This window comes from Homo sapiens, chromosome 4 (genome assembly GCF_000001405.40).
Source record: "Homo sapiens chromosome 4, GRCh38.p14 Primary Assembly".
Classification (NCBI taxonomy): Eukaryota; Metazoa; Chordata; class Mammalia; order Primates; family Hominidae; genus Homo; species Homo sapiens.
Window position 1 is genome coordinate 71,003,609 of NC_000004.12, and position 27,753 is coordinate 71,031,361.

Here is a 27,753-nt window from a genome sequence, read left to right on the forward strand (position 1 = left end):
CTTTTCACATAGTCCCATATTTCTTGGGAGGCTTTGTTTGTTCCTTTTCATTCTGTTTTCTCTAATCTTATCTTCACGCTTTATTTTTATTAAGTTTTTCTTCAATCTCTGATATCCTTTCTTCCACTTAATCGATTCGGCTATTGATACTTGTGTATGCTTCACCAAGTTCTCATGCTGTGTTTTTCAGCTCCATCAGGTCATTTATGTTCTTCTGTAAACTGGTTATTCTAGTTAGCAGTTCCTGTAACCGTTTATCAAGGTTCTTAGTTCCTTGCATTGGGTTAGAACGTGCTGCTTTAGCTCAGTGGAGTTTGTTATTAACCCACCTTCTGAGGCCTACTTCTGTCAATTCGTCACACTTATTCTCCATCCAGCTTTGTTCTCTTGCTGGCGAGGAGTTGTGGTCCTTTGGAGGAGAAAAGACATTCTGGTTTTTGGAATTTTTAGCTTTTTTGCACTGGCTTTTCTTCATCTTTGTGGATTTATCTACCTTTGGTCTTTGATGTTGGTGAACTTCAGATGGGGTTTTTGCGTGGTTGTCCTTTTTGTTGATGTTGATGCTATTGCTTTTTGTTTGTTAGTTTCCTTCTAACAGTCAGGCCCCTCTGCTGCAAGTCTGCTGGAGTTTGCTGGAGGTCCACTGCAGATCCTGTTTGCCTGGGTATCACCAGCGGAGGCTGCAGAACAGCAAAGATTGCTGCCTGCTCCTTCCTCAGGAAGCTTTGTCCCAGAGGGGCACCTGCCAGAGGCTAGCCAGAGCTCTCTTATATGAGGTGTCTGCCGACCCCTGCTGGGAGCTGTGTCCTAGTCAGGAGGCATGGGGGTCATGGACCCACTTGAGGATGCTGCCTGTCCTTTAGCAGAGCTTGAGCGCTGCGCTGGGAGTTCCACTGCTCTCTTCAGAGCCAGCAGGCAGGATTGTTTAAGTCTGCTGAGGCTGCACTCACAGCCACGCCTTCCCCCAGATGCTCTGTCCCAGGGAGATGGGAGTTTGATCTGTAAGTCCCTGACGGGGGCTGCTGCCTTTCTTTCAGAGATGCCCTGCCCAGAGAGGAGGAATCTAGAGAGGCAGTCTAGCTTCAGGGGTTTGCCAAGCTGTGGTGGGCTCTGCCCAGCTTGAACTTCCAGGTGGTTTTGTTTACACTGTGAGGGGAAAACCACCTACTGAAGTCTCAGTAATGGCGGGCACCCCTCCCCCCACCAAGCTTCAGTGTCTCAGGTTGACTTCAGACTGCTGTGCTGGCAGTGAGAATTTCAAGCCAGTGGATCTTAGCTTGCTGGGCTCCGTGGGGGTGGGATCTGCTGAGCAAGACCACTTGGCTCCCTGGCTTCAGCCCCCTTGGCTCCCTGGCTTCAGCCCCCTTTCTAGGGGAGTGAACGGTTCTGTCTCGCTGGCATTCCAGGCACCACTGGGGTATGAAAAAAAACTCCTGCAGCTAACTCCGTGTCTGCCCAAATGGCTGTCCAGTTTTGTGCTTGAAACCCAGGGCCCTTGTGTAGGCACCCGAGGGAATCTCCTGGTCTGCGGGTTGTGAAGACTGTGGGAAAAAGCCTAGTATCTGGGCTGGATAGCACCATCCCTCAAGGCTTCCCTTGGCTAGGGGAGGGAGTTCCCCCACCCCTTTCACCTTCCAGGTGAGGCGATGCCCCACCCTGCTTCTGCTTGGCCTCTGTGGGCTGCACCCACTGTATAACCAGTCCCAATGAGATGAATTGGGTACTTCAGTCGGAAATGCAGAAATCACCCGTCTTCTGCATTGGTCTCACTGGGAGCTGCAGACCAGAGCTGTTCCTATTTGGCCATCTTGCCTGGGAATCTAAAAGTTTTTAAAAAGTTAAATAATAAAAGTTTTAAAAAATCTAACAGCAAATTAAATTCCTTCATTGTCTTTTCTAATTTTTTTTTTTTTTTGAGATGGAGTTTCGCTTTTGTTGCCCAGGCTGGAGTGCAATGGCTCGATCTTGGCTCACCACAACCTCCGCCTCCCGGGTTCAAGCGATTCTCCTGCCTCAGCCTCCCAAGTAGCTGGGATTACAAGCATGGGCCACCATGCCTGGCTAATTTTTTTTACTAGAGATGGGGTTTCTCCATGTTGGTCAGGCTGGGCCCAAACTCCTGACCTCAGGTGATCCGCCTGCCTCAGCCTCCCAAAATGTTTGGATTACAGGCCTGAGCCACTATGCCCAACCCTTCAGTGTCTTTTCACATTTTGTTTAAAAACAAGCAAATAAGGCCGGGTGCGGTGGCTCACACCTGTAATCCCAGCCCTTTGGGAGGCCGAGGCAGGTGGATCGCCTGAGGTCAGGAGTTCGAGACCAGCCTGGCCAACATGGTGAAACCCTGTCTCCACTAAACATACAAAAATTAGCTGGGCGTGGTGGTGGGCGCCTGTAATCCCAGCTACTCAGGAGGCTGAGGCGGGAGAATTGCTTGAACCCGGGAGGTGGAGGTTGCAGTGAGCCGAGATCGCGCCATTGCACTCCATCTCAAAAAAAAAAAAAACAGAAAAAACAAAAACACCAAAAAAAAAAAAAAAAAAGCAAATAAGAAAAAGAAAAACTACTATTCAGTAACTGAATTTTACCTTTCAAGCCTTTTGTCATTTACTCTCATTTCTTTTTACTTTCATTCTTGCCAGACTTTCACTCTGGGCAGAAGTTGTAATTTTGCAGCATTTTACCGTTCTGCACTGCAAATGAGGAAGAAAGAGAATGACAGAGTTCAGTGTCATTTTTTTAAATACCAAAATGTATGGTTGTATGTGTGAGAGAGACGTTGCTAAGATTTTCGTTTCTGGAGAAATGAGAATTGAAATTGAAAGCAAGGCCAGGTGTGGTGGTTTATGCATGTAATCCTGGAATTTTTTTTTTTTTAAGTGACAGCAAGTTTATTAGGAAAGTAAAGCAATAAAGAATGGCTACTCCATAGGCAGAGCAGCCAATCCCAGCACTTCGGGAGGCTGAGGCCAGAGGATCGCTTGAGCCCAGGAGTTCAAGACCAGCCTGGGCAACATAGGGTGACCCCGTCTCTACAAAAAATTTAAAAATTAGCTAGGTGTGGTAGCCTGCACTTGGGGTTACAGCTACTTGGAAGGCTGAGGTTGGAGGACTGCTTGAGCCCAAGAAATTGAGACTGTAGTGAGCCATGCTCATGCCACTGTACTCTAGCCTGAGTGACAGCAAGACCCTGTCTAAAAGAAAAAAAGAAATTGAAAGCAGTAAGGCAGAAACCTTAAAAATGGAAATGTATGCTAACAACTTACTTTGATCTGAGGAGTACAGAAAATTGAAAAAAAAGTATCTAAAAAAATTTAGCTGTTGGTATAAGGAATTCTGGGAATAATAATTGAATATTTAAAATGTAAATCACATATGCAAAGAGGAATCACTAGCAAGATATTCCATGGACTTTGAGAATATATGGTTTTGAATAACCAAAAATACTTTTTCATACACCTTCTATTTGCCAGGCATAGCTAACTTTAGACCTAGGGCCTAATTCAGTACACCCCAATCCTTAGGATATCCAGGACTAAATCTTAAAGGGGCTTTCTTCCCATATAGACCTCATTATCTTAAGAAATTGATGTTTTATATCTGATTTTTGGGGAAAGGCAAGGTTAGTCTACAGTAGAATTTTAAAGTGGGTAAATTTGTTTATTTGATTCTTTTTAAAAACATTTTTGACATGATATATCTGTAGAAAAGTAGGTAAAAGCTAATGTACAGTTTGAAGAACAGTTTTAAAGTTGACATCTTTATAACCATTATCCAGGTCAAGAAATACGACATCATCATTCCAGAAATCCCTGTTCGCCTTCTCCAATCACTATATCTTCTTTCCTACGTTACTACTCCGCTAGGGGTAATTACTCCCATTCTTTTGTGATAATAATTTTCCTGCTTCCTAAAAATTGTTTGAGCATACATGAACATACCTCTAAGTATAATTTAGTTTTGTCTATTTTTGAATGTTATATAAGTGGAATTACATTGTTTGCCTTTTTTCCTCTCGCTTCTTTTACTTAATACATTTATGAAATTTGTCCATATTATATGCAGCTGTAGCTTATTTTCAGCTATATAGTATTGAATTTTGTTTTTTAAAAATATTCTTTTTTTTGAGACAGGATTTCACTCTGTTGCCCAGGTAAAGTGCAGTGGCGCAGCCATGGTTCACTGCAGCCTCAACCTCCCTTGGCTCAGGTGATCCTCTCTCCTCAGCCTCCTGAGTATCTAGGACCATAGGCCACCACGCCTGTGTGCCACCAGGCTTGGCTAATTTTTGTATTTTTTATAGAGACGGGGTTTTGCCATGTTACCCAGGCTGGTTTCAAACTCCTGGGCTCAAGCGATCTGCCCATCTCAGCCTCCCAGAGTGTTGGGATTACAGGCTTGAGCCACTATGTGGGGCCTATAGTATTTAATTTTATTCGTCTATCACTGTTTGTCCATTTTATACCTTTAATTGATTTTTGAGTGATTTCCAATTTAGTTGCTTATGTAAACAGCATTGCTGTGAACATAAATTCACCCGCATACATGCAAAAGTTTCTGTAGGAATAAGAAGTAAAATTACTGGGAATGCTTATGATGCCTGTTTTCCAAACTGGCTTTCCAATTTTCTCTCCCCCCAGTGTAATCAAGCTCTCATTAATCTATGTCTTTGCCAGCATTTAGTAGTGTCTGGCTTTCTCATTTTTGTCATTCTGCTGAGTGTTTACTATTTTTTTGTTTAATTTGTATTTCCCCGCTGGCTAATGAGGCTGTGTTCCTTTTCATATGTTTATTAGTCATTTTGATTTTTGCAAAGTGCCCACTTGGGTCCTTTTGCCCATTTTCCTCTGAGCCATCTGTCTTCTCTCACTGCATTTTTAATGTAGCTTTTCGCTGAAGTACCTACTCAAGTTTGCTTAGCTTTTGAAGGAGAGACTGGAGTTCTAAAAGCAACTCTTTTTCCTTTTATTTCTGGGGTCAGCTGTCAGTGCAGTTATCCTCAGGTAGTAGACAGAAACTAACCAGATTAAACCAATGTTGGAAAATAGAGGGTATTCTTAAACAGGGTATTGGACTAGGTGACCTCCATTTAAGGTCCGTTGACATATTTGTCATTTGACTCTCAGCATGCCTCACATTAACCAAGGGCACAGAAACTGACATATAAAACCAAAATGCCAAAAATTTTAATTTGCAGAAAGAAATGTAATCATTAAGGTAATTGAATTTAGATCAGTTTATTCTTTATTTGGTTCGTAATTCTCAACCAGTGGAAGGAAGTCATAAGAATGTCTGAGAGCTAAACAGTTTGAACACATGGAGATAGAGTGTGGAAAAATAGATAACAATAACTGGGAAGGGTAGGAGGAGGGGAAGATGAAGAGGAGTGAGTTAAAGTGTACAGATATACAGGAAGCTTGAAGAAATAATTCAGTGTTTTATAGCAAGGTAGAATGGAAAAATACATTGTACTCAGGTGATGGACACCCTGAATGATTCGATTACTGCATATTATATACATGTACAAAATTTCTCATGTATTCCATAATTTGTACACACAAGAAAGAATCTCAAGGATTCGGGTGCTTTTTAAAATAACAATCCCTTGGAGGTTCAAATATGTGGGATGCCTCATAGTTAAAAGTCATCACCCTAGTGAATCACTGTTAACTGTTGGGAGTATACTGAACTCTTTAGTTAGGTTGCAGAGAAGTTGAAAAACATTGCTTTCGTATATAAGACAAGACAATTTATAATAAGGTTGTCTGTTGAGCTTGGAATCAGAGCCCAGAGGGATTAGTTAAATCATGTTAATCAGACTGTGTCATCAGACTGTGATGCATTAATACATTTGTCTTCATTTTAAGACTTAATGGCTTTCTGAATCTGATATCCATGTTTATGGGATGGGACATTTTCTTTCCATATACTTGATTCAGAATGCCAAACTGGCCATTCTTTATAACTAGCATGCAGGTGATCCTATTATTATTAACATATTCTTTTATCAGGCCGTTTATTGTAATCTGGTCATGTCTTCATGATGTTACAATTTGATTACCTTTGTTAGAGTTTGGTGCACATTCTTGGAAGGTAGCTTCAGCTTTTTTGTGTGTATTGGGGACTGCTCCGTTGTTAATTCTCTGTACTTCTGTACAGAGGGGGTAGTATTTTTGAGATATAGTTGTGGAATATGAGGATGGTTGGGTGGGTGGCTTCCCTGTATCTTTGGATATTTTCTTCCACTAAACTCAAGAAGTGAGATTTTATTTCTTCATCCAGTAGTCCTTCTTCCCCAGACTCATCCTTGATCTATTCCTTGAGGTTATAGTATGAATCACCCACTATTCAAATGTCAATTTTTCTTAGAATGCTGTTAGTGATGAGAAGTGACTGTTTTCAGACCTAACCTTGGCAAGGTCAGTCCTACTTTGATGTTCTTGTTTCATCACACTTCTTGGCATTTGTAGATTTGGAAGAATTGGGCCTTTGGTACCTCTGATCTCTTCGTTTAGCAACTTACTGTGCACCCATATGCTTAGCTTTTGCTGTTTTAGCTTTTTTTTTTTTTTTTTAACCTGCCACCTAGTGGCCGAAATGTTGCTATACTATTGATAAGGTACTCCTAATTTTGGCAAAATAGTAAGAGGCAAAGCACCAAAGATTATGTTCTCTCCCTTCTCCAAATCTCTCTTGGTGAGAATGATCTTTAAAACATACCACTCAGATTATTAGCAATCTTGGTATGGAACGTTTTTAAAAATAATAATAATGTACTTTATGTGGTGATTTATGTTATTATTTAGGCCCAAAGTTTTGATTTAATTGTTTCCTTTTAGCTTATTTTTGAGATATGCAGTCTGTTAGGAAGCTGTCTCTGTCTTGTTTTTTCATTGAGCTGAATTCTTTTGGAGGATCACTATTATTGTGAAGTACTATTTTACTTTTAATTAAAAAAATTAAGATATTTTTATTTTTAATTTACAGATAAAAATTATATTTAATTTTATATTATATTTATATATAAATCATATGTAATGTAAATTATATACATAAGTTATATATAATATAAAAATTATATACATAATATAAATTATATATAATATAAAAATTATATTTATGGTATGCAACATGATGTTTTAAAATATGTCTACATTGTGGAATGGTTAAACCAAGCTAATTAACATACGCATTACCCGTACTATTTTACTTTTATCCAATACTTCTTACCACTAATAAGCCACTGAAAAACTAGTAATTGTGATAAAGAAGGTGTAAACCATACTTATTTATGACAGAACAGCATATTTTTTACTTTTAATAAGTCATTCTTTTTTTTTTTTTTTGAGACGGAGTCTCGTTCTGTCGCTCAGGCTGAAGTGCAGTGGTGTGATGTTGGCTCACTGCAACCTCTGCCTCCCAGGTTCAAGCGATTTTCCTGCCTTAGCCTTCCAAGTAGCTGGAGCTGGGATTACAGGCATGTGCCACCACGCCTGGCTAATTTTTGTAATTTTAGTAGAGATGGGGTTTCACCATGTTGGCCAGGCTGGTCTTGAACTCCTGACCTCAAGTGATCCACCCATCTCAGCCTCCCAAAGGGCTGGGATTACAGGTGTGAGGTCTCTTTTTTTTTTTTTTTTTTTTTTTTAAGACGGAGTCTTGCTCTGTCCCTTAGTAAGTCATTCTTGAAAATTAGTTAAGAATGCTTGATAAAGCACTTCCACTTGTACCTTTTGAATAGATGTGATAACTTTTGTTGGCTTGTATTTTTTTGAGTCTTGCTTTATTGCCCAGGCTGGAGTGCAATGGTGAACCTCAGCCCACTGCAGCCTCCGCCTCCTGGGCTCAAGTGATCCTCCCACCTCAGCCTCCTCAGTAGCTGGGACTACAGGCCCACACCAACATGCCCGGCTAATTTTTGTATTTTTTATAGCGATAGGATTTTGCCAATGTTGTCTGGATTTGTCTCAAACTCCTGGGATCAAGCAATCCGCCTGCCTCGGCCTCCCAAAGTGCTAGAATTAGGCATATGAGTCACCATGCCTGGCCTGTTGGCTATTTTATAATTATCTTGTTTGGTAGACTCTGATCTTTTACAGTTGAACTTAATTCAACTCTTTTGCAATGTTTACAAAGATTAGACCTAGAATTAAAAGATAAATGATTTTATAGCTGACCTTGATATTTCTATTTTTCACTTACCTTGACAATAATCTGTACTTCCTATAACAATGAAGTATTCTTTCATAAAGTGAAAATGGACATATATTATAGAGAACAGAATAAATGTTATTCATAATCCTACCACTCTGTATGTATCTTTTACATAGTTGAATTAATAATGTAATATATTAAATTTTGGTGGAGGTGATATGTAATTTAAAAAATATTATAAAGTAATACCTGTTTACTGTTTGAAGTTAAGGAAATATTAGAAATTATCAAAAGAGGGGACTAAAACTTACCTATAACCTTATTATCCAGAGATAACCATAGATCTTACTTGAAAGAACAGTATACAGTTTTGTATTTTGTTTCTTCCCCACCCCCCACAATATTTATATGTCAAGAGTCTGAGATCCAACTGCAAGGCGGCAGTGAGGCTGGGGGAGGGGCGCCCACCATTGCTGAGGCTTGGGTAGGTAAACAAAGTGGGCTGGAAGCTGGAACTGGGTGGAGCCCACCGCTGCTCAAGGAGGCCTGCCTGCCTCTGTAGACTCCACCTCTGGGGGCAGGGCATAGCTGAACAAAAGGCAGTAGAAACCTCTACGGACTTAAATGTCCCTGTCTGACAGCTTTGAAGAGAGTAGTGGTTCTCTCAGCACGGAGTTTGAGATCTGAGAACGGACAGACTGCCTCTGCAAGTGGGTCCCTGACCCCCGAATAGCCTAACTGAGAGGCACCCCCCAGTAGGGGGAGACTGACACCTCATACGGCTGGGTACCCCTCTGAGACGAAGCTTCCAGAGGAACGATCAGGCAGCAACAATTGCTGTTCAGCAGTATTCGCTGTTCTGCAGCCTCCGCTGCTGATACCCAGGCAAACAGGGTCTGGAGTGGACCTCCAGCAAACTCCAACAGACCAGCAGCTGAGGGTCCTGGCTGTTAGAAGGAAAACTAACAAACAGAAAGGACATCCACACCAAAACCCCATCTGTACGTCACCATCATCAAAGACCAAAGGTAGATAAAACCACAAAGATAGGGAAAAACAGAGCAGAAAAGCTGAAAATTCTAAAAATCAGAGCGCCTCTCACCTCCAAAGGAACACAGCTCCTCGCCAGCAACGGAACAAAGCTGGACGGAGAATGACTTTGACGAATTGAGAGAAGAAGGCTTCAGATAATCAAACTTCTCCGAGCTAAAGGAGGAAGTTCGAACCCATGGCAAAGAAGCTAAAAACCTTGAAAAAAGACGAATGGCTAACTAGAATAACCAGTGTAGAGAAGTCCTTAAGTGACCTGATGGAGCTGAAAACCATGGCACGAGAACTACATGACGAATGCACAAGCTTCAGTAGCCGATTCAATCAACTGGAAGAAAGGGTATCAGTGATTGAAGATCAAATGAATGAAATGAAGTGAGAAGAGAAGTTTAGAGAAAAAAGAGTAAAAAGAAATGAACAAAACCTCCAAGAAATATGGGACTATGTGAAAAGACCAAATCTGCGTCTGATTGGTGTACCTGAAAGTGATGGGGAGAATGGAACCAAGTTGGAAAACACACTTCAGGATATTATCCAGGAGAACTTCCCCAATCTAGCAAGGCAGGCCAACATTCAAATTCAGGAAATACAGAGAACACCACAAAGATACTCCTCGAGAAGAGCAACTCCAAGACACATAATTGTCAGATTCACCAAAGTTGAAATGAAGGGAAAAATGTTAATGGCAGCCAGAGAGAAAGGTCGGGTTACCCACAAAGGGAAGCCCATCAGACTAACAGTGGATCTCGCGGCAGAAACGCTACAAGCCAGGAGAGAGTGGGGGCCAATATTCAACATTCTTAAAGAAACGAATTTGCAACCCAGAATATCATATCCAGCCAAACTAAACTTCATAAGTGAAGGAGAAATAAAATCCTTTACAGACAAGCAAATGCTGAGAGATTTTATCACCACCAGGCCTGCCCTACAAGAGCTCCGGAAGGAAGCACTAAACATAGAAAGGAACAAGCGGTACCAGCCACTGCAAAAACATGCCAAATTGTAAAGACCATCGAGGCTAGGAGGAAACTGCATCAACTAATGAGCAAAATAACCAGCTAACATCATAATGACAGGATCAAATTCACACATAACAATATTAACCTTAAATGTAAATGGGCTAAATACTCCAATTGAAAGACACAGACTGGAAAATTGGATAATTGGATAAAGACTCAAGACCCATCAGTGTGCTGTATTCAGGAGACCCATCTCATGTGCAGAGACATACATAGGCTCAAAATAAAGGGATGTATGAAGATCTACCAAGCAAATGGAAAACAAAAAAAAGGCAGGTGTTGTAATCCTAGTCTCTGATAAAACAGTCTTTAAACCAACAAAGATCAAAAGAGACAAAGAAGGCCATTACATAATGGTAAAGGGATCAATACAACAACAAGAGCTAACTATCCTAAATATATATGCACCCAATACAGGAGCACCCAGATTCATAAAGCAAGTCCTTAGAGACCTACAAAGAGACTTAGACTCCCACACAATAATAATGGGAGACTTTAACACCCCACTGTCGACATTAGACAGATGAACGAGACAGAAAGTTAACAAGGATATCCAGGAATTGAGCTCAGCTCTGTACCAAGCGGACCTAAAAGACATCTACAGAACTCTCCACCCCAAATCAACAGAATATACATTCTTCTCAGCACCACATCGCACTTATTCCAAAATTGACCACATAGTTGGAAGTAAAGCACTCTTCAGAAAATGTAAAAGAACAGAAATTATAAAAAACTGTCTCTCAGACCACAGTGCAATCGAACCTAGAACTCAGGATTAAGAAACTTACTCAAAACCGCTCAACTACATGGAAGCTGAATAACCTGCTCCTGAATGACTACTGGGTACATAACGAAATGAAGGCAGAAATAAAGATGTTCTTTGAAACCAATGAGAACAAAGACACAACATACCAGAATCTCTGGGACACATTTAAAGCAGTGTGTAGAGGGAAATTTATAGCACTAAATGCCCACAAGATAAAGCAGGAGAGATCTAAAATTGACACCCTAACATCACAATTAAAAGAACTAGAGAAGCAAGAGTAAACACATTCCAAAGCTAGCAGAAGGCAAGAAATAACTAAGATCAGAGCAGAACGGAAGGAAATAGAGACACAAAAAACCCTTCAAAAAATCAATGAATCCAGGAGCTGGTTTTTTGAAAAGATCAACAAAATTGATAGACCGCTAGCAAGACTAATAAAGAAGAAAACAGAGAAGAATCAAATAGACTCAATAAAAAATGACAAAGGGAGTATCACCACTGATCCCACAGAAATACAAACTACCATCACAGAATACTATAAACACCTCTACAAACACCTCTACGCAAATAAACTAGAAAATCTAGAAGAAATGGATAAATTCCTGGACACATACACTGTCACAAGACTAAACCAGGAAGAAGTTGAATCCCTGATTAAACCCATAACAAGCTCTGGAATTGAGGCAATAGTTAAGAGCCTGCCATCCAAAAAAAGTCCAGGACCAGATGGATTCACAGCCGAATTCTACCAGCAGTACAAGGAGGAGCTGGTACCATTCCTTCTGAAACTATTCCAATCAATAGAAAAAGAGGGAATCCTCCCTAACTCATTTTATGAGGCCAGTATCATTCTGATACCAAAGCCTGGCAGAGACACAACAAAAAAAGAGAATTTTAGACCAATATCCCTGATGAACATCGATGCAAAAATCCTCAGTAGAATACTGGCAAACTGAATCCAGCAGCACATCAAAAAGCTTATCCACCATGATCAATTGTGCTTCATCCCTGGGATGCAAGGCTGGTTCAGCATACGCAAATCAATAAACATAATCCAGCATATAAACAGAACCAAAGACAAAAACCACATGATTATCTCAATAGATGCAGAAAAGGCCTTTGACAAAACTCAACAACCCTTATGCTAAAAACTCTCAATAAATTAGGTATTGGTGGGATGTATCTCAAAATAATAGGAGCTATTTATGACAAACCCACAGCCAATATCACACTGAATGGGCAAAAACTGGAAACATTCCCTTTGAAAACTGGCACAAGACACGGATGCCCTCTCTCACCACTCCTATTCAACATAGTGTTGGAAGTTCTGGCCAGGGTAATCAGGTAGTAGAAGGAAATAAAGGGTATTCAATTAGGAAAAGAGGAAGTCAAATTGTCCCTGTTTGCAGATGACATGATTGTATATTTAGAAAACCCCATCGTCTCAGCCCAAAATCTCCTTAAGCTGATAAGCAACTTCAGCAAAGTTTCAGGATACAAAGTCAATGTGCAAAAATCACAAGCATTCTTATACACCAATAACAGACAAACAGAGAGCCAAATCATGAGTGAACTCCCATTCACAGTTGCTTCAAAGAGAATAAAATACCTAGGAATCCAACTTACAAGGGATGTGAAGGACCTCTTCAAGGAGAACTACAAACCACTGCTCAATGAAACAAAAGAGGACACAAACAAATGGAAGAACATTTCATGCTCGTGGATAGGAAGAATCAATATCGTGAAAATGGCCATACTGCCCAAGGTAATTTATAGATTCAATGCCATCCCCATCAAGCTACCAATGACTTTCTTCACAGAATTGGAAAAAACTACTTTAAAGTTCATAAGGAACCAAAAAAGAGCCCGCATTGCCAGGTAAATCCTAAGCCAAAAGAACAAAGCTGGAGGCATCACGCTACCTGACTTCAAACTATACTACAAGGCTACAGTAACCAAAACAGCATGGTACTGGTACCAAAACAGAGATATAGACCAATGGAACAGACCAGAGCCCTCAGAAATAATACCACACATCTACAACCATCTGATCTTTGACAAACCTGAGAAAAACAAGAAATGGGGAAAGGATTCCCTATTTAATAAACGGTGCTGGAAAAATGGCTAGCCATATGTAGAAAGCTGAAACTGGATCCCTTCCTTACACCTTATACAAAAATTAATTCAAGATGGATTAAAGACTTAAATGTTAGACCTAAAACCATAAAAACCCTAGAAGAAAACCTAGGCAATACTATTTGGGACATAGGCATGGGCAAGGACTTCATGTCTAAAACACCAAAAGCAATGGCAACAAAAGCCAACATTGACAAATGGGATCTAATTAAACTCAAGAGCTTCTGCACAGCAAAAGAAACTACCATCAGAGTGAACAGGCAACCTACAGAATGGGAGAAAATTTTTGCAATCTACTCATCTGACAAAGGGCTAATATCTAGAATCTACAATGAACTCAAACAAATTTACAAGAAAAAAACAACCCCATCAAAAAGTGGGCAAAGGATATGAACAGACACTTTTCAAAAGAAGACATTTATGCAGCCAACAGACACATGAAAAAATGCTCATCATCACTGGCCATCAGAGAAATGCAAATCAAAACCACAATGAGATACCCTCTCACACCAGTTAGAATGGTGATCATTAAAAAGTCAGGAGACAACAGGTGCTGCAGAGGATGTGGAGAAATGGGAACACTTTTCCACTGTTGGTGGGACTGTAAACTAGTTCAACCATGTGTAAGACAGTGTGGTGATTCCTCAAGGATCTAGAACTAGAAATACCATTTGACCCAGCCATCCCATTAGTGGGTATATACCCAAAGGATTATAAATCATGCTGCTATACAGACACATGCACACATATGTTTATTGCGGCACTGTTCACAATAGCAAAGACTTGGAACCAACCCAGATGTCCATCAGTAATAGACTGGATTAAGAAAATGTGGCACATATACACCATGGAATACTATGCAGCCATAAAAAAGGATGAGTTAATGTCCTTTGTAGGGACATAGATGAAGCTGGAAACCATCATTCTCAGCAAACTGTCGCAGGGAAAAAAAACAAAACACTGCATGTTCTCACTCATAGGTGGGAATTGAACAATGAGAACTCTTGGACACAGGAATGTGAACATCACACACTGGGGCCTGTTGTGGGGTGGGGGGAGGGGGGAGGGATAGCATTAGGAGAAATACCTAATGTAAATGGCGAGTTAATGGGTGCAGTACACCAACATGGCACATGTATACATATGTAACAAACCTGCACGTTGTGCACATGTACCCAAGAACTTAAAGTATAAAAAAAAAATTTATATATCAGGGCAATTAAAATCGTTGTTAAAAATTTACTGTAAATGATTTTTAACAGCAGCCTAATTTATTGTATGCATGTACTATTATTTACTTAATATAAATGCCTAATAATAGTGGAATGATAACCTATTCGCTTAGCCTTGTGATAAATACCTTTGTGGTTAAATTTGTATTCTAGATTATTTCTTTTTTTTTTTTTTTTTTGAGACGGAGTCTCGCTCTGTCTCCCAGGCTGGAGTGCAGTGGCGCCATCTCAACTTGCTGCAAGCTCCGCCTCCCAGGTTCACATCATTCTTGTGCCTCAGCCTCCCGAGTAGCTGAGACTACAGGCGCCTGCCACCATGCCCCGCTATTTTTTTTGGTATTTTTAGTAGAGACAGGGTTTCACCGTGTTAGCCAGGATGGTCTCGATCTCCTGACCTTGTGATCCACCCGCCTTGGCCTCCCAAAGTGCTAGGATCACAGGCGTGAGCCACTGCGCCCGGCCTAGATTATTTCTTTAAAGTAAATTTTCAACAGTGGAATTAATTGGGCCAAAAGGTACAGGTTTTTTTTTTCCCACAAATGTAGCTAAACTGCTTTCTATCTAACCATGTTCTACCAATTTGTATTTAATGTAGTTTCACTCTGACACATTCATATTTTTTATCTGGATAGTTTGCAGAGGGGAGAACTTGATAAAATTAACATTCAGTTTGGTAAAGATGATGCACAGTATTTTTTAGATTTTTTTTTTTTTTTTTTTTTTGAGACAAGAGTCTTGCTCTGTTACCCAGGCTGGAGTGCAGTGGCACAATCTTGGCTCACTGCAGCCTCCACCTCCCAGGCATAAGCAATTCTCCCACCTCAACCTCCGGAGTAGCTGGGATTACAGGTGCACGCCACCATACCTGGCTAATTTTTGTATTTTTTGTAGAGACAGGGTTTCGCCATGTTGCCCAGGCTGGTCTGGAACTCCTGAGCTTAAGTGATCCGCCTGCCTCGGACTCCCAAAGTGCTGGGATTACAGGCCTGAGCTGCCTCACCTGGCTGGATAAATTTTTAATATTCTTAACATTTATAATTGCATACAAAAAACCCTAGCAATTTGTCTCAAATTTCATGCATAGGATCAAAAGAAAATGTTTTATATGACTCATAAGTTATCCTGAGGAACCAGATAATGATACCCTGGCTTACTGTTAATTTTCTAATTTGTTACACTATTAAACTAAGAGACAATAACATCTTCATAGCTGAAAATTCTATTTCAGATTTTTGATTCAGTTTGAATTTACATATTTGTATTTTTAGAACTAGTTTATTATTTTTTTGTTAGGTGATGAATCAAGATTGGTTCTCTAAGTTATTTTAATATAGTAAACTTTGAAATTGCTTTGGGCAAGAGAGATTATATTTATTGAGAAATTAAAATAAAAGGAGGTATGTGGTCTTTTTTAGTTAATTTTTTTGTTGTGGCAAAAATATAAAATTTATCATCTGAACCATTTTTAAGTATACAGCTCAGTAGTATTATAAGCATATTTAGGTCATTATGAACAGATCTCCAGAACTTTAGCCTCCTGAAAAGATCCAGAGACCCCTGGAGCTTCTCCTACTATACTTTGAAGAACCTCTATCTTAGAGAATATATTACTTCATCTGGAAAAGACAGACTCACAGAGAACTCTAGAAATATAGTCTTTTAAAACATATCATCTAAAAGATTAATAATTCTTTTTATCATCTTATCCGGTCTGTGTTCATATTTCCCCATTGTCTAATAATGTTTTCGTAATTTTTTGAAATTAGGAGCCAAACCAGGTTCACACACGTTACATTTGGTGGTTGATATACCTTTTATTTTTTTTTAAATTTATTTTTCTGAGATGAAGTCTTGCTCTGTCACCCAGGCTGAAGTACAGTGCATGATCTCAGCTCACGGCAACTTCTGCCTCCCCAGTTCAAGTGATTCTCCTGTCTCAGCCTCCCGAGTAGCTAGGATTACAGGCGCGTGCCACCACGCCTGGCTAATTTTTTATATTTTTGGTAGAGACAGGGTTTCACCATGTTGGCCAAGCTGGTCTTGAACTCCTGATCTCAGGTGATCTGCCTGCCTCGGCCTCCCAAAGTGTTGGGATTACAGGCGTGAACCACTGGGCCTGCCCTTGATATGCCTTTTAAATTTTAATCTATTGATTGTCTCTTTGTTTATAATTTATTTGTTGAAGAAACAGGGTCATTTGTTCTACATAATTTTCCTCATTCTGGTTTTGGCTGAGTGTATCTCTGGTAAAATTTAACATGTTTTTCAGTTCTCTGTATTTCCAGTAAATTTATAGGTAGAGACAGGCTTGATTAGATTTACTTTCAATTCTTTTTTGGCAAGATTCCTAGTTGGTGATGTGTATTTCTTTACATCAAGAAGATGTGTTTTGTGATGTTAAAATCAAACAGTTTAGCTGTTGTCAGATTGATTCATCCGTTGTAAAATTCCCAATTAACTTTTCTCTAATGATAGCATCTATTGCTAATTGTTGCCTCATTGCAGTATATTAGTAGGTGTTGTAAAAGGTGATATTCCTTCTCCAGCCTTCTGAATTTATTGGCTGGGATTCTTCAGGAAAGAAGACCTCTTCCTCATATACCACTTTATTACCCTGAAAGTATTTATACAGGAAAGGCCAAAATAAAATGGGACTTTTTTTTTCTTTTTACCTACATATTCCCAGAATAATTAATTTGTGCCTTAGGAGCCTCAAAACATGACTAGAGTTTTGTTTGTTTGTTTAGAATTATAAACTCATGGATTTTTGCCTCCCATTCATTTTCGATGTTCAAATTATTCTTTCTTTGACCAGTGGCAGCTTATTTATGTTGGCTCCTTTGTCCTTGGCACAATCCCAGTGGTCTGTAGTAGTTTCCTAAAATATACAAGATGAAGCTCATCTTGTATATTTTCTTCCCCAGATTTAGAATCAGAATTCTAATTCCTTTCAGTGGGAAATGGTATTTAGAGATTATAATCTGGGTGATATTTTTGTATATTCCTACAATGTTGTCATTGTTTATAGGCCTTTTGATGGACAGAACTAGGAAAACTTTATAGAAAGAGAAAAATAATTCATGTGTTCCAGATGCTATTTCTTTTTTTTTTTTTTTTTTTTGAGACGGAGTCTCGCTCTGTCGCCCAGGCTGGACTGCGGACTGCAGTGGCGCAATCTCGGCTCACTGCAAGCTCCGCTTCCCGGGTTCACGCCATTCTCCTGCCTCAGCCTCCCCAGTAGCTGGGACTACAGGCGCCCGCCACCGCGCCCGGCTAATTTTTTGTATTTTTAGTAGAGACGGGGTTTCACCTTGTTAGCCAGGATGGTCTCGATCTCCTGACCTCATGATCCACCCGCCTCGGCCTCCCAAAGTGCTGGGATTACAGGCGTGAGCCACCGCGCCCGGCCTGCTATTTCTAACTCAGATAAAAGATGATAAGAGTTTTTACTTCATTTTAAAATTTACATTTGTATTTTTCCTCAACATGTAAAATGTGGTTCTAACAATAAGATTATTGAATTGCAAAATCTGGGGCAGGAACTATTGTATTATATTAGAAGATTGGAGGGTTACAAATACAAATGCCTAAAGGGGCCAGACAGCCAAATGAATATATCAGGCCTGTTATGAAAATCATCCGGGAATGGTGGGGATTAATAAGCCAGAGAGCATATATCCCATCTAAAGGAGGCATCTGTGACTTGATTCTAGCTGATTTTTGCCAAGAGGGAATATGGGCATGGTACTGCTTGGTTTTTTCATTTTTAAAAAGAAGACGTAATCCCTGCACTTTGGGAGGCCAAGGCAGGCAGATCATGAGGTCAGGAGATGGAGACCATCCTGGCTAACACGGTGAAACCCCGTCTCTACTAAAAATGTAAAAAATTAGTTGGGCATGGTGGCACGCGCCTGTAGTCCCAGCTACTTGGGAGGCTGAGGCGGGAGAATTGCTTGAACCTGGTAGGTGGAGGTTGCAGTGAGCTGAAATCGTGCCACTGCACTCCAGCTGGGGCAACAGAGCAAGACTCCATCTCAAAAAAGAAAAAAAAGAAGATGTAAATCCAAATATTTTATGTGAAATTATTTAGCTTTTAAATATTGACAATACTATTGACAAACTAAGTCAAAGTTTTAAAAAGGACTTTTGGACCAAACAATGATTTCTTCCATAGGTTATTAGTTTGTAACCTCTTGTGAGAAAGATCTAAGGATTTTCCAGACCTCAGACAATCTGAAAAATATATTGGGAAAGAGTATGAGAAAGGGAACTTAATCATCTTGGTTTTGCTGATCATGATTACATTTATTTATCTGACTTTTATTTTTTAGCCTTAAAAATTAAAATAGCCCTATTGACCATTAATTTTGCTTTTTATTTCTTTTTGCACATTCAAAATAGGAACTTACAATGTCTCAGAAAAATGGTGGGAATGTTCTTCAGATGATGTATGAGAAACCTGAACGATGGTCTTTTACCTTCCAAACATATGCCTGTCTCAGTCGAATAAGAGCTCAGCTTGCCTCTCTGAATGGCAAGCTCAAAGATGCAGAGAAACCTGTATTATTTTTTGAACGATCTGTGTATAGTGACAGGTATGTATAAATGGCTTGTACGTGGCCATTTGAAGTTTTTATCTTAGAACTGGACTTTTTTTTTTTTTTTAATGTTTCCTGGGAATTAGTAATAATGAATGGCTGAGCTGGGGATTTAAGATGGAAAATGACATTTAAATCCCTCAGCAGTCTGGTACTAATGGCATTAGGGAAGTTATTGCATTTATAATCCTCAGCTTCCATAGAAACTGTTGGGAATATGGTGGTGCCCATTTCATTTAAATTTGCAGAGAAGTTGTTTTTCCCTCTAACCCTTTTAAAATTCTCATCTGCTCTGGTTAAATCTGGATCTATATCCTAGACTCTTACCTGGATCAAGAAGATAAAAGTCTCTAAGGGGCCTTAGAATTGCCCTACTTATGCTAGGATTCTTTTGACCTCCAAAGTTAGCTCAGAACAGAGGTTCTCAAACATTTGATCTCAGGGCCCTTTTCAATTCTTAATAACTATCGAGGTGTCCAAAGAGCATGTCCTATTGATACTTAACATTACTAGAAATTAAGATGCACAAAAATGATTTAAAATTAGCAATAATAAATTCATTACATATTAATATAAATACATTTGACAAAAAGTTATATTTTCTAAAATAAAAAGTAGCTAGAAGAATATCATTGCTTTACATTTTTGCAGATATCTTTAATGCCTCACTTATTAAAAGACAGCTGGATTTTTATTTATGCTTCTGTATTTAATCTGTTATGGTATGTTTGTTTGTTTGAAGTATATTGGTATATGAAGTAATCTGGCCTCTCACAGAACCCCTTAGAAGATCTTGGGGACTTAATGGGGTCCTCACTCCGTATTTTGAGAACCATTGGCCAAAAACATGATGGAAAGACTCTTGTCTTTTTCTGCTTTCCACGGCACTATGTGCCACTGGATTTAGGAGAATGTTTCATGTTCCTGTTCTCTTTTTTATTTCTTTGTTGTTTTTTTTTGAAATGATACATGTGTTGATGAAGACTCTCTTTTAGGTATATTTTTGCATCTAATTTGTATGAATCTGAATGCATGAATGAGACAGAGTGGACAATTTATCAAGACTGGCATGACTGGATGAATAACCAATTTGGCCAAAGCCTTGAATTGGATGGAATCATTTATCTTCAAGCCACTCCAGAGGTAAAACCCAATAAAAATGTGTTTCACTGAAAATTTAAAGAAATATTTAGAACTCTTTTCAGTGGTATATAATGAGGGCAATTTAGTTTAACTCCAGCCTCCCAACCTCCCACTCCCCACCTCTAAATTAGAAACTTGTAACTGTGTAGATAGAAGCATTCTTTTTTCTCAGCAAACTGGAATCCCAGACTGGGCAAGTTGCTGTTTTAGGCTCTTTGTGCTTCCTCAATTCTTTTTTATTTTACTCATTATTTCTTTCTAACATTTGCAGACTCTTCTCATTCATCACAGTTAAAGTAATGAATGTGGTCAAGCAACTCCTAGAATATAGGCTTCATGAGGTGGGACCTTGGGCATTTTGATTACTATTGAATTTCCATTGCCTAGAACACCCAGTGCTGGGCACTGTTGGAGCATATAGTAGGAGCTCAGTAAATATTTACTGAATGAATGGCAATGTTGATGGAGGTCCATATCAAGAAATATTTTATTATGGTTGTTTGTGCCTTGGAATGAGTGGATAATGGCAGCTATCGTTGGGAAAAGACTTAGAGGACCCTTGCCATTTTCCATTAAGGGAGCTCACTTGAAAAGGTGCTTTTTGTGATAGGTTGTAACATAGCTATTCTAGTTACATATGATGTTATATAATGAATACAGGATGACCAAATAGATGCCTTTCATAAAACTAACCTAAATATTAAGATCTTACATTTAATCAGAAGCTTTCTGGTTTTGGTGCGTGCATTTCTATTGTTTCTGTTTTTTAATTCTCATTTTTTCCTTAAGTCACAGGGTAGGCACTGATGAATGTAAATGTTATGACTTCTGGCCTAAAATTAGAATACTGTGTTGCTGTCGAAGCTGGGTTTTCAAAGAAATTAGGTTTCCTATTCCAACGGATGATTTTGTTCTTCATTAAGTAAAGATTTTGTTCTTCATTAAGCAAGGATTTAGCAATTTTTTAGCAATTTCAAAAGTGAATTTTGAAATTCACTTTTATTTTTGAATTTTTTTGTTTTTAATTACAAAAATAGTAAATAAAAATGTGAAAAAGAACATAAGGAATATGAATAATTTCATTTTGCTTGAAACATTTATAGTCACTATTAAGCTAGAATTTAGCAAATATAATAATTTTGAAATTCACTTTTATTTTTGAAAAGGTTTCTTAAAGTTATGAAAATAGTACAAACACCAAAAACATAAATAATACTAATAATTTCATTTTGATACTGATAATTTCATCAGTATTGTTTCTGATATCTTTGGATGAAAGGATTGTTTAATTATTGAAAAGAGAATTTAGAGTAGAGTTTGAAACACAGTTTGTATGCTGCCATGGTCTTATGCATGTCATTTAGGTTGGAGGCTTTTATTTCTTGGAATGCATGAAGAGTTTCTCATGGTATATGAGCCCCCACAAATTATACGAAATTTTTTATGTATGTGTGCTTTTGGGGGACCGTTATCTAGAGCTGCACTGTCCAATGTGGCTATTTAAATTTAGGGTTATTAAAATTAAATAAAATTTAGATATTTAGTTCCTTGGTCACCACACTAGCCATATTTCAAGTGCTTAAAAACCACAGGTGGCTGGTGGCTACCTTATTTGATAATGCAGATATAGGACAGGCATAAAACATTCCAAAGTTGTTTTGGTTGTGCTGATATAGAGTTTTCATCACATTAAGAACCACTGTCTTTAGTGGTTTTATGTGAACTGAACATAGATATTTTGTAATCAAGGTTGGTTAACAGCAAAGTAAGATTATGTTTATAGATTGGCATACCTTTTAGCTGTTGTCTCTGAACATTTTAAGTAGATGTTTAATTTTTTTCTCCTTTTTATCAAACTTAGTATATTTCATGTGTGGATGGATACCAAAAATTTATAGGCTTATTTTTGAAAGTACTGCTTGGCTTAGAGCCACCAAGTGGCTGAAAAGCTCATGGAGGGAAAAATGAATTATTTCAGCTTTTAAGAAGTAATAAGTAGAGATTTTGGCTAGCGTGAGTAGAGAGACACAGAAAAGAAAATTTTGATGGCAGCAGACAAGAATAATTGTTCCCTGCCTTTTTCTTCCATCTCTTATTACTTGCTTTTAGACATGCTTACATAGAATATATTTACGGGGAAGAAATGAAGAGCAAGGCATTCCTCTTGAATATTTAGAGAAGCTTCATTATAAACATGAAAGCTGGCTCCTGCATAGGACACTGAAGTAAGACTTATTTTTATTTACTATTCATTTTAAATACCTTTGTTACCTTTGTTAAATTTTAATCTAAAATTTGGAAGATATGACTAGCAATATGTAAAATTTCCAGTCGTTTTGCTTATTGGTATCTTCCAGAACTAGGTATAGATTTTCATTCTCTTGATTGCAATGAGATCCTATTTACTTAAAGTTTTTATAACTAGTATCCCTTGGTGGTATTGATAGCGTAATATGTGAAATTTCACTTTAAGTGATAAAGTAGGAATATATCTGAACATTATTTAGGTACTCTTTCAGAAAGAATTTTGACTTGGGAGATTGTATAGCGTGGTTGTTGAGAGGATAGACTTTGTTATTAGTCAGATCTTGGCTCAAGTCCAGTCTTACTGGTGTGTGACCTTGGATAGCCTCTGAGCTTCAGAATGACAATTCTGAGCTTTAGTTTTCTCATCTTTAAAAATGCAGAAATTCCTACTTTATTGACTGCTATTTGTTTTTGAAGAGAATCATATGTTACAGTACCCAGCTGTATATATTTTGTACCTAAGTTTTTGGGCTCCATATGGTAAATCTAGATGAGAAAGAAGGGGCTGCCAGATGAAGTACTGCAAAGTAACTTTAGTGTAAATGATTGACAACATTTTGATTTTCCAAGGACATACGAATGAATTTTTAATGTTTCTCTCTTTTTTTTGTTGAATTTCTGATTATTTTATTAATCTCTCTTTTTAAACAGAACCAACTTCGATTATCTTCAAGAGGTGCCTATCTTAACACTGGATGTTAATGAAGACTTTAAAGACAAATATGAAAGTCTGGTTGAAAAGGTAGATTTAGACAGACTACAAACAAATATTTGTTTTTTCTAAAAAAGTGTACTGAGTGGTGAGAAAACAATTTTCTAACAGAAAAGCTTCCATAAAGTTACATTAAGAAACAGTTAAGAGCTTTAGAAGATTTTGGACTGTTTAAGATTCCAGTCCTGACTAAATTCTAGCTTTGTGGCCTGAGCTAAAATAAAGATCCTTCGGAATCTCAGAATCTGACAGATCTTAGAAAAAAATTAAATAAATAAAAATAAAATAAGGATTTTTTTTTATCCTTTAGTGCCTCTATCTGTAGGATAGGTAAAATTATAATAACAAAAATTCTTTCTCACCCCCTTTTTCTCTGCTTTGTCCCCATTTCTTCCTCTCTTCCCTACACCACCAATCTTTAGATACTTTAATAATAAACTGCTTGTGAAATTAAATTTATCTTTTTCAACTAAATTCAATATGGAGGATATTTAAAGTTACAGGATATGGATCTCATCTATTTTTATGTTGGCCAAAGTCTTGAGATTAAGGGATTTTAGTTTTGAGTTTCATTTGGGATCATGTCAAGGATTAATTGACATTACTTAATCATTGAGTCATTGTCTTAATCACAGTTCATTTATTGCCCAAATCACTGGGAGTTGACTATATTCTGTTAAGTGAGTGGTGCCCATATTGATAAAGGGAATGGGTGAGAATTTATTGATGAATATTTGAGAGAGAATAGTAAGGGAATTGGTATAACAAATATCCCTATACCCATGTTGATAACTGAGTGATTAAGCTATAAAGAAGAAAGCACAATTTGGTTTAGTTTTGAGAAAAATTTGATTTTTCCTTTCTTTTGTGGCATAATGTCTGCTGTTTAATAGAGACTTGACATTCATAAGGGATATATCAAGGATTTTGAAAATCTTGACATTTTATGTAACTACTGTAGCGTATACATGTAGTTGTTTTTCCCATGGTATGAACTAAAGCTTATCTGGAAAATTCCAATGACCTCTTCATACTACTAATGATGTTAAAAATATAGGATAAATTCACTTACAATACTATTAAATGAAAAGTCAGCATTAAGTATTAACAGCCAACCATCAATTTAACTGACTTTGTAAATCACTTTTTAATTTTATCTAACACTTCTTTGTTTTGACTAAGAATCATTTCACATTATTATATTTACTTTTATTAATAATGCTAGCAGTTGACTTTCTTATTAAGGTATTTTTACAAGGCAATAATTTTTGTTTCTTGAGAATTATTGAGTAGCCTAGAATATGTAGAGAACAAGCATATTCTTACATTATGGTCAGTAGGCTAGGTTCATTGACTCCTTACATGATTTTCTGCACACACTGACATTGCAAAGTATGTGATTCACATATGTGCTTCAGAAACATGACAAATCTACTACATGTTTGATTTTCAAAGTTGCTTGAACTATTGTGCTTATTAATGTTATCAGTGTTAAAGCTGCATATGTCAGTGGTCTATGATATTTAAATGAAGAGATTATAAAATTGGTGTTACAGCTATTTTAGAACTATATCTATCTTAGATTGATAGATGCAGTGGCTCACACCTGTAATCCCAGCACTTTGGGAGGCTGAGGTGGGAAGACTGCTTGAGCCCAGGAGTTCCTGACCAGCTTGGGCAACATAGTGAGACCTCATCTCTATAAAAAACAAACAAAAACTAGCCAGACATGATGGTGTGCACCTAGCCAGGAGTTCAAGGCTGCAGTGAGCTTTGATTGCACCACTGTACTCAGCCTGGGTGACAGAGCAATAAATAACTCCTAAAATGACCTTTTAGGTCATTCATCTTTTACTACTGAAGTATTTAACAATATTTCTTTTTTTTCTCGAGACAGTCTTGCTCCGTCGCCCAGGCTGGAGTGCAATGGCACAATCTTGGCTCACTGCCATCTCCACCTCCCAGGTTCAACCAGTTCTGCCTCAGCCTCCTAAGTAGGTGGGATTACAAGTGCACGCCTCCATGCCTAGCTAATTTTTTTTTTTTTTTGAGACGGAGTTTTGCTCTTGTTGCCCAGGCTGGAGTGCGATGGCGCGATCTCAGCTCACCACAACCTCTGCCTCCCAGGTTCAAGCGATTCTTCTGCCTTGGCCTCCCTAGTAGCTGGGATTACAGGCATGTGCCACTATGCCCGGCTAATTTTGTATTTTTAGTAGAGAAGGGGTTTCTCCATGTTGGTCAGGCAGGTCTCGAACTCCTGACCGCAGGTGATCTGCCCGCCTCGGCCTCCCAAAGTGCTGGGATTATAGGCATGAGCCACTGCGCCTGGCCTATTTTTGTGTTTTTAGTAGAGATGGGGGGTTTCACCATGTTGGCCAGGCTGGTCTGAAACTCCTGACCTTAAGTGATCCACCCATCTCGGCCTCCCAAAATGCTAGAATTACAGGCATGAGCCGCTGCGCCCGGCCTTAACAATATTTCTTTGGAAAGTAAATGCAATGGCATTGTGGTAGTTACTTATACAGCTGGGGTCTTCAACTATTATATACTTTTAAATGAAGATGAATATTAGATACCTCAAATTAGTCAAGGAATTATACTGATTTTTTTTTCTTCCTTTCCTCAGGTCAAAGAGTTTTTGAGTACTTTGTGATCTTGCTGAAGACTACAGGCAGCCAAATGGTTCCAGATACTTCAGCTTTGTGTATCTTCGTAACTTCATATTAATATAAGTTTCTTTAGAAAACCCAAGTTTTTAATCGTTTTTGTTTTAAGGAAAAAAGATTTTTAAAATGAATCTTATGCAAAACTTTTTGACCAGTTTCTTTTCTTTTGTTTTTTTTTTAAAAAAGACATTTAAAGACAAAGACATTATTTCTCATAGCAGGAAATGTAGAGGTAGATGGTTCCAGTATCAGCATAGTGACTAAACTACATTATAAAAGATCCAGCTTCCTTCTGTCATTCCCCTCTTTTGTCTTCCTCAGCAGGTTGGCTTTTTTCCCTGGTGCCTCTCACTTCGTTGGTGACCAGTTTCTTAAACTGAAAGCTTTAATGTTACATAGTAAATGGTAGTGTGTCCTGTGTAAATTAGTGTACCTATTAAAAGTTGCAAAGTGGAATTAAAGGAATCCCTAGAATAAGGATTCTGAAGTTTTATTTTAAATTATTATCTTCTTAACAGTTTAGTCCCACCTCTTACTTCCTGCCTCAGTCTGCTTTCTCTACTGTCTGGATTAATTAGGCAGCCTGCTATAAAGTTAAAGTCACACATTTCTATTTTGCAAACACTGTGATTACTCTTTGCTTTGTAGTTTGCTTTGCTTTGTAGGGTTCTGCTTTTAAGTTTTTCTCTTTTTCAGACAAATTACTGATAAAAATGATATTGCTCTATATGTAATATATCCTGAAAGCATTATTTTTTGTTGAATAGGAAATAAAATTAATGAAGACAGAGGCTAGAAAGCATCCATTAATTAATGAGACACACTTAACTACTTATCTCTAAACCATCTATGTGAATATTTGTAAAAATAATGAATGGACTCATCTTAGTTCTGTATATAAATATATTTTCTTTCTAGTTTGTTTAGTTAAGGTGTGCAGTGTTTTTCCTGTGTATTAAACCTTTCCATTTTACGTTTTAGAAAATTTTATGTATTTTAAAATAAGGGGAAGAGTCATTTTCACTTTTAAACTACTATTTTTCTTTCCAAGTCATTTTTGTTTTTGGTTTCTTATTCAAAGATGATAATTTAGTGGATTAACCAGTCCAGACGCACTGATCTTTGCAAAGGAGACTTAATTTCAAATCTGTAATTACCATACATAAACTGTCTCATTATACGTATGCATTTTTTTAGTTTGTTTTTGTTTGGTATAAATTAATTTGTTAATTAAATATTTCTTAAGTATAAACCTTATGAACTACAGTGGAGCTACACTCATTGAAATGTAATTTCAGTTCTAAAAAGATGTAATAATCATTTTAGAATTAAAATTTATTCTACTTTTAAATAAATTATGAATATTAAAGGTGAAAATTGTATAAATTACTTTGATTCCATTTTAAGTGGAGACATATTTCAGTGATTTTTAGTAACCTTTAAAAATGTATAATGACTTTTAAAATTTGTAGAATTGAAAAGACGCTAATAAAAATTTATTATTTATTTGTCATGACTCAAAAGTTGTCTCAGTGTGGTGGTCATAATAGAATTGAGCCTAATGGTGGTCTGGATTATCTCTTGGATCTATTACCTATATCATGTCTTCCATTAGAATTTATTTATTGCTCTTTATAGTTTGCTCTCCTAGAAAGGTAATTAATAATACAAGACTTATTTTTCTCATCCAGAATTTTCTCTTCTGCTATGCCTAAAACTTGAAACTTATACCGAGCCACCTAGAACTTAAGTCTGTCATATGTTAAAGAACAGAGTTGTAAAATGTTTCTAAAATAGAGATATAGATGTTATTGCCTTTGAAAAATGCTAGATACATTGCAACATTAAGTCTGGTAAATAATAGCCTTCTTCATTTGACTAACTTACCTCTTCTTTTAATTTTTTTTTTTTTTTTGTTTTGAGAGAGGGTCTTGTTCTGTTGCCTAGGCCGGAGTACAGTGGCGCAGTTA

At 37.8% G+C, this 27,753-nt stretch overlaps 1 protein-coding gene across 2 annotated transcripts in view, besides 6 other annotated features; it reads left to right on the forward strand.

Moving 5' to 3' along the window:
* DCK (deoxycytidine kinase) overlaps window positions 1–27,306 on the forward strand; it is a 37,266-nt gene extending 9,960 nt beyond the window's left edge. For both annotated transcript variants that reach the window (NM_000788.3, XM_047449689.1), the window contains exons 3-7: window positions 18,759–18,952; window positions 19,951–20,098; window positions 22,208–22,323; window positions 23,057–23,147; window positions 25,744–27,306. In NM_000788.3, coding sequence (NP_000779.1) covers window positions 18,759–18,952; window positions 19,951–20,098; window positions 22,208–22,323; window positions 23,057–23,147; window positions 25,744–25,770 — 576 coding nt within the window. In that variant the 3' untranslated portion in view covers window positions 25,771–27,306. The remainder of the gene's footprint in view (window positions 1–18,758; window positions 18,953–19,950; window positions 20,099–22,207; window positions 22,324–23,056; window positions 23,148–25,743) is intronic.
* Window positions 627–1,323: an enhancer, noted in NCBI's record as "H3K27ac-H3K4me1 hESC enhancer chr4:71869952-71870648 (GRCh37/hg19 assembly coordinates)". NCBI's record gives its function as "activates a minimal SCP1, AML or CMV promoter by ChIP-STARR-seq in naive H9 embryonic stem cells {active_cell/tissue: H9 hESC(naive)}" and the evidence as "EXISTENCE:reporter gene assay evidence [ECO:0000049][PMID:30033119]".
* Window positions 724–1,018: a silencer, noted in NCBI's record as "tiled region #311; HepG2 Repressive non-DNase unmatched - State 13:Ctcf, and K562 Repressive non-DNase unmatched - State 15:Elon". NCBI's record gives its function as "represses a minimal TATA promoter and a strong SV40 promoter by Sharpr-MPRA in HepG2 and K562 cells {active_cell/tissue: HepG2 | K562}" and the evidence as "EXISTENCE:reporter gene assay evidence [ECO:0000049][PMID:27701403]".
* Window positions 1,016–1,275: an enhancer, noted in NCBI's record as "active region_21604". NCBI's record gives its function as "activates an Ori minimal core promoter by ATAC-STARR-seq in GM12878 lymphoblastoid cells {active_cell/tissue: GM12878}" and the evidence as "EXISTENCE:reporter gene assay evidence [ECO:0000049][PMID:35858748]".
* Window positions 2,796–2,935: an enhancer, noted in NCBI's record as "active region_21605". NCBI's record gives its function as "activates an Ori minimal core promoter by ATAC-STARR-seq in GM12878 lymphoblastoid cells {active_cell/tissue: GM12878}" and the evidence as "EXISTENCE:reporter gene assay evidence [ECO:0000049][PMID:35858748]".
* Window positions 14,575–14,771: a silencer, noted in NCBI's record as "fragment chr4:71883900-71884096 (GRCh37/hg19 assembly coordinates)". NCBI's record gives its function as "represses an EF-1alpha promoter that drives an FKBP-Casp9 reporter gene in an ReSE screen in K562 erythroleukemia cells {active_cell/tissue: K562}" and the evidence as "EXISTENCE:reporter gene assay evidence [ECO:0000049][PMID:32094911]".
* Window positions 25,170–25,670: an enhancer, noted in NCBI's record as "H3K27ac hESC enhancer chr4:71894495-71894995 (GRCh37/hg19 assembly coordinates)". NCBI's record gives its function as "activates a minimal SCP1, AML or CMV promoter by ChIP-STARR-seq in primed H9 embryonic stem cells {active_cell/tissue: H9 hESC(primed)}" and the evidence as "EXISTENCE:reporter gene assay evidence [ECO:0000049][PMID:30033119]".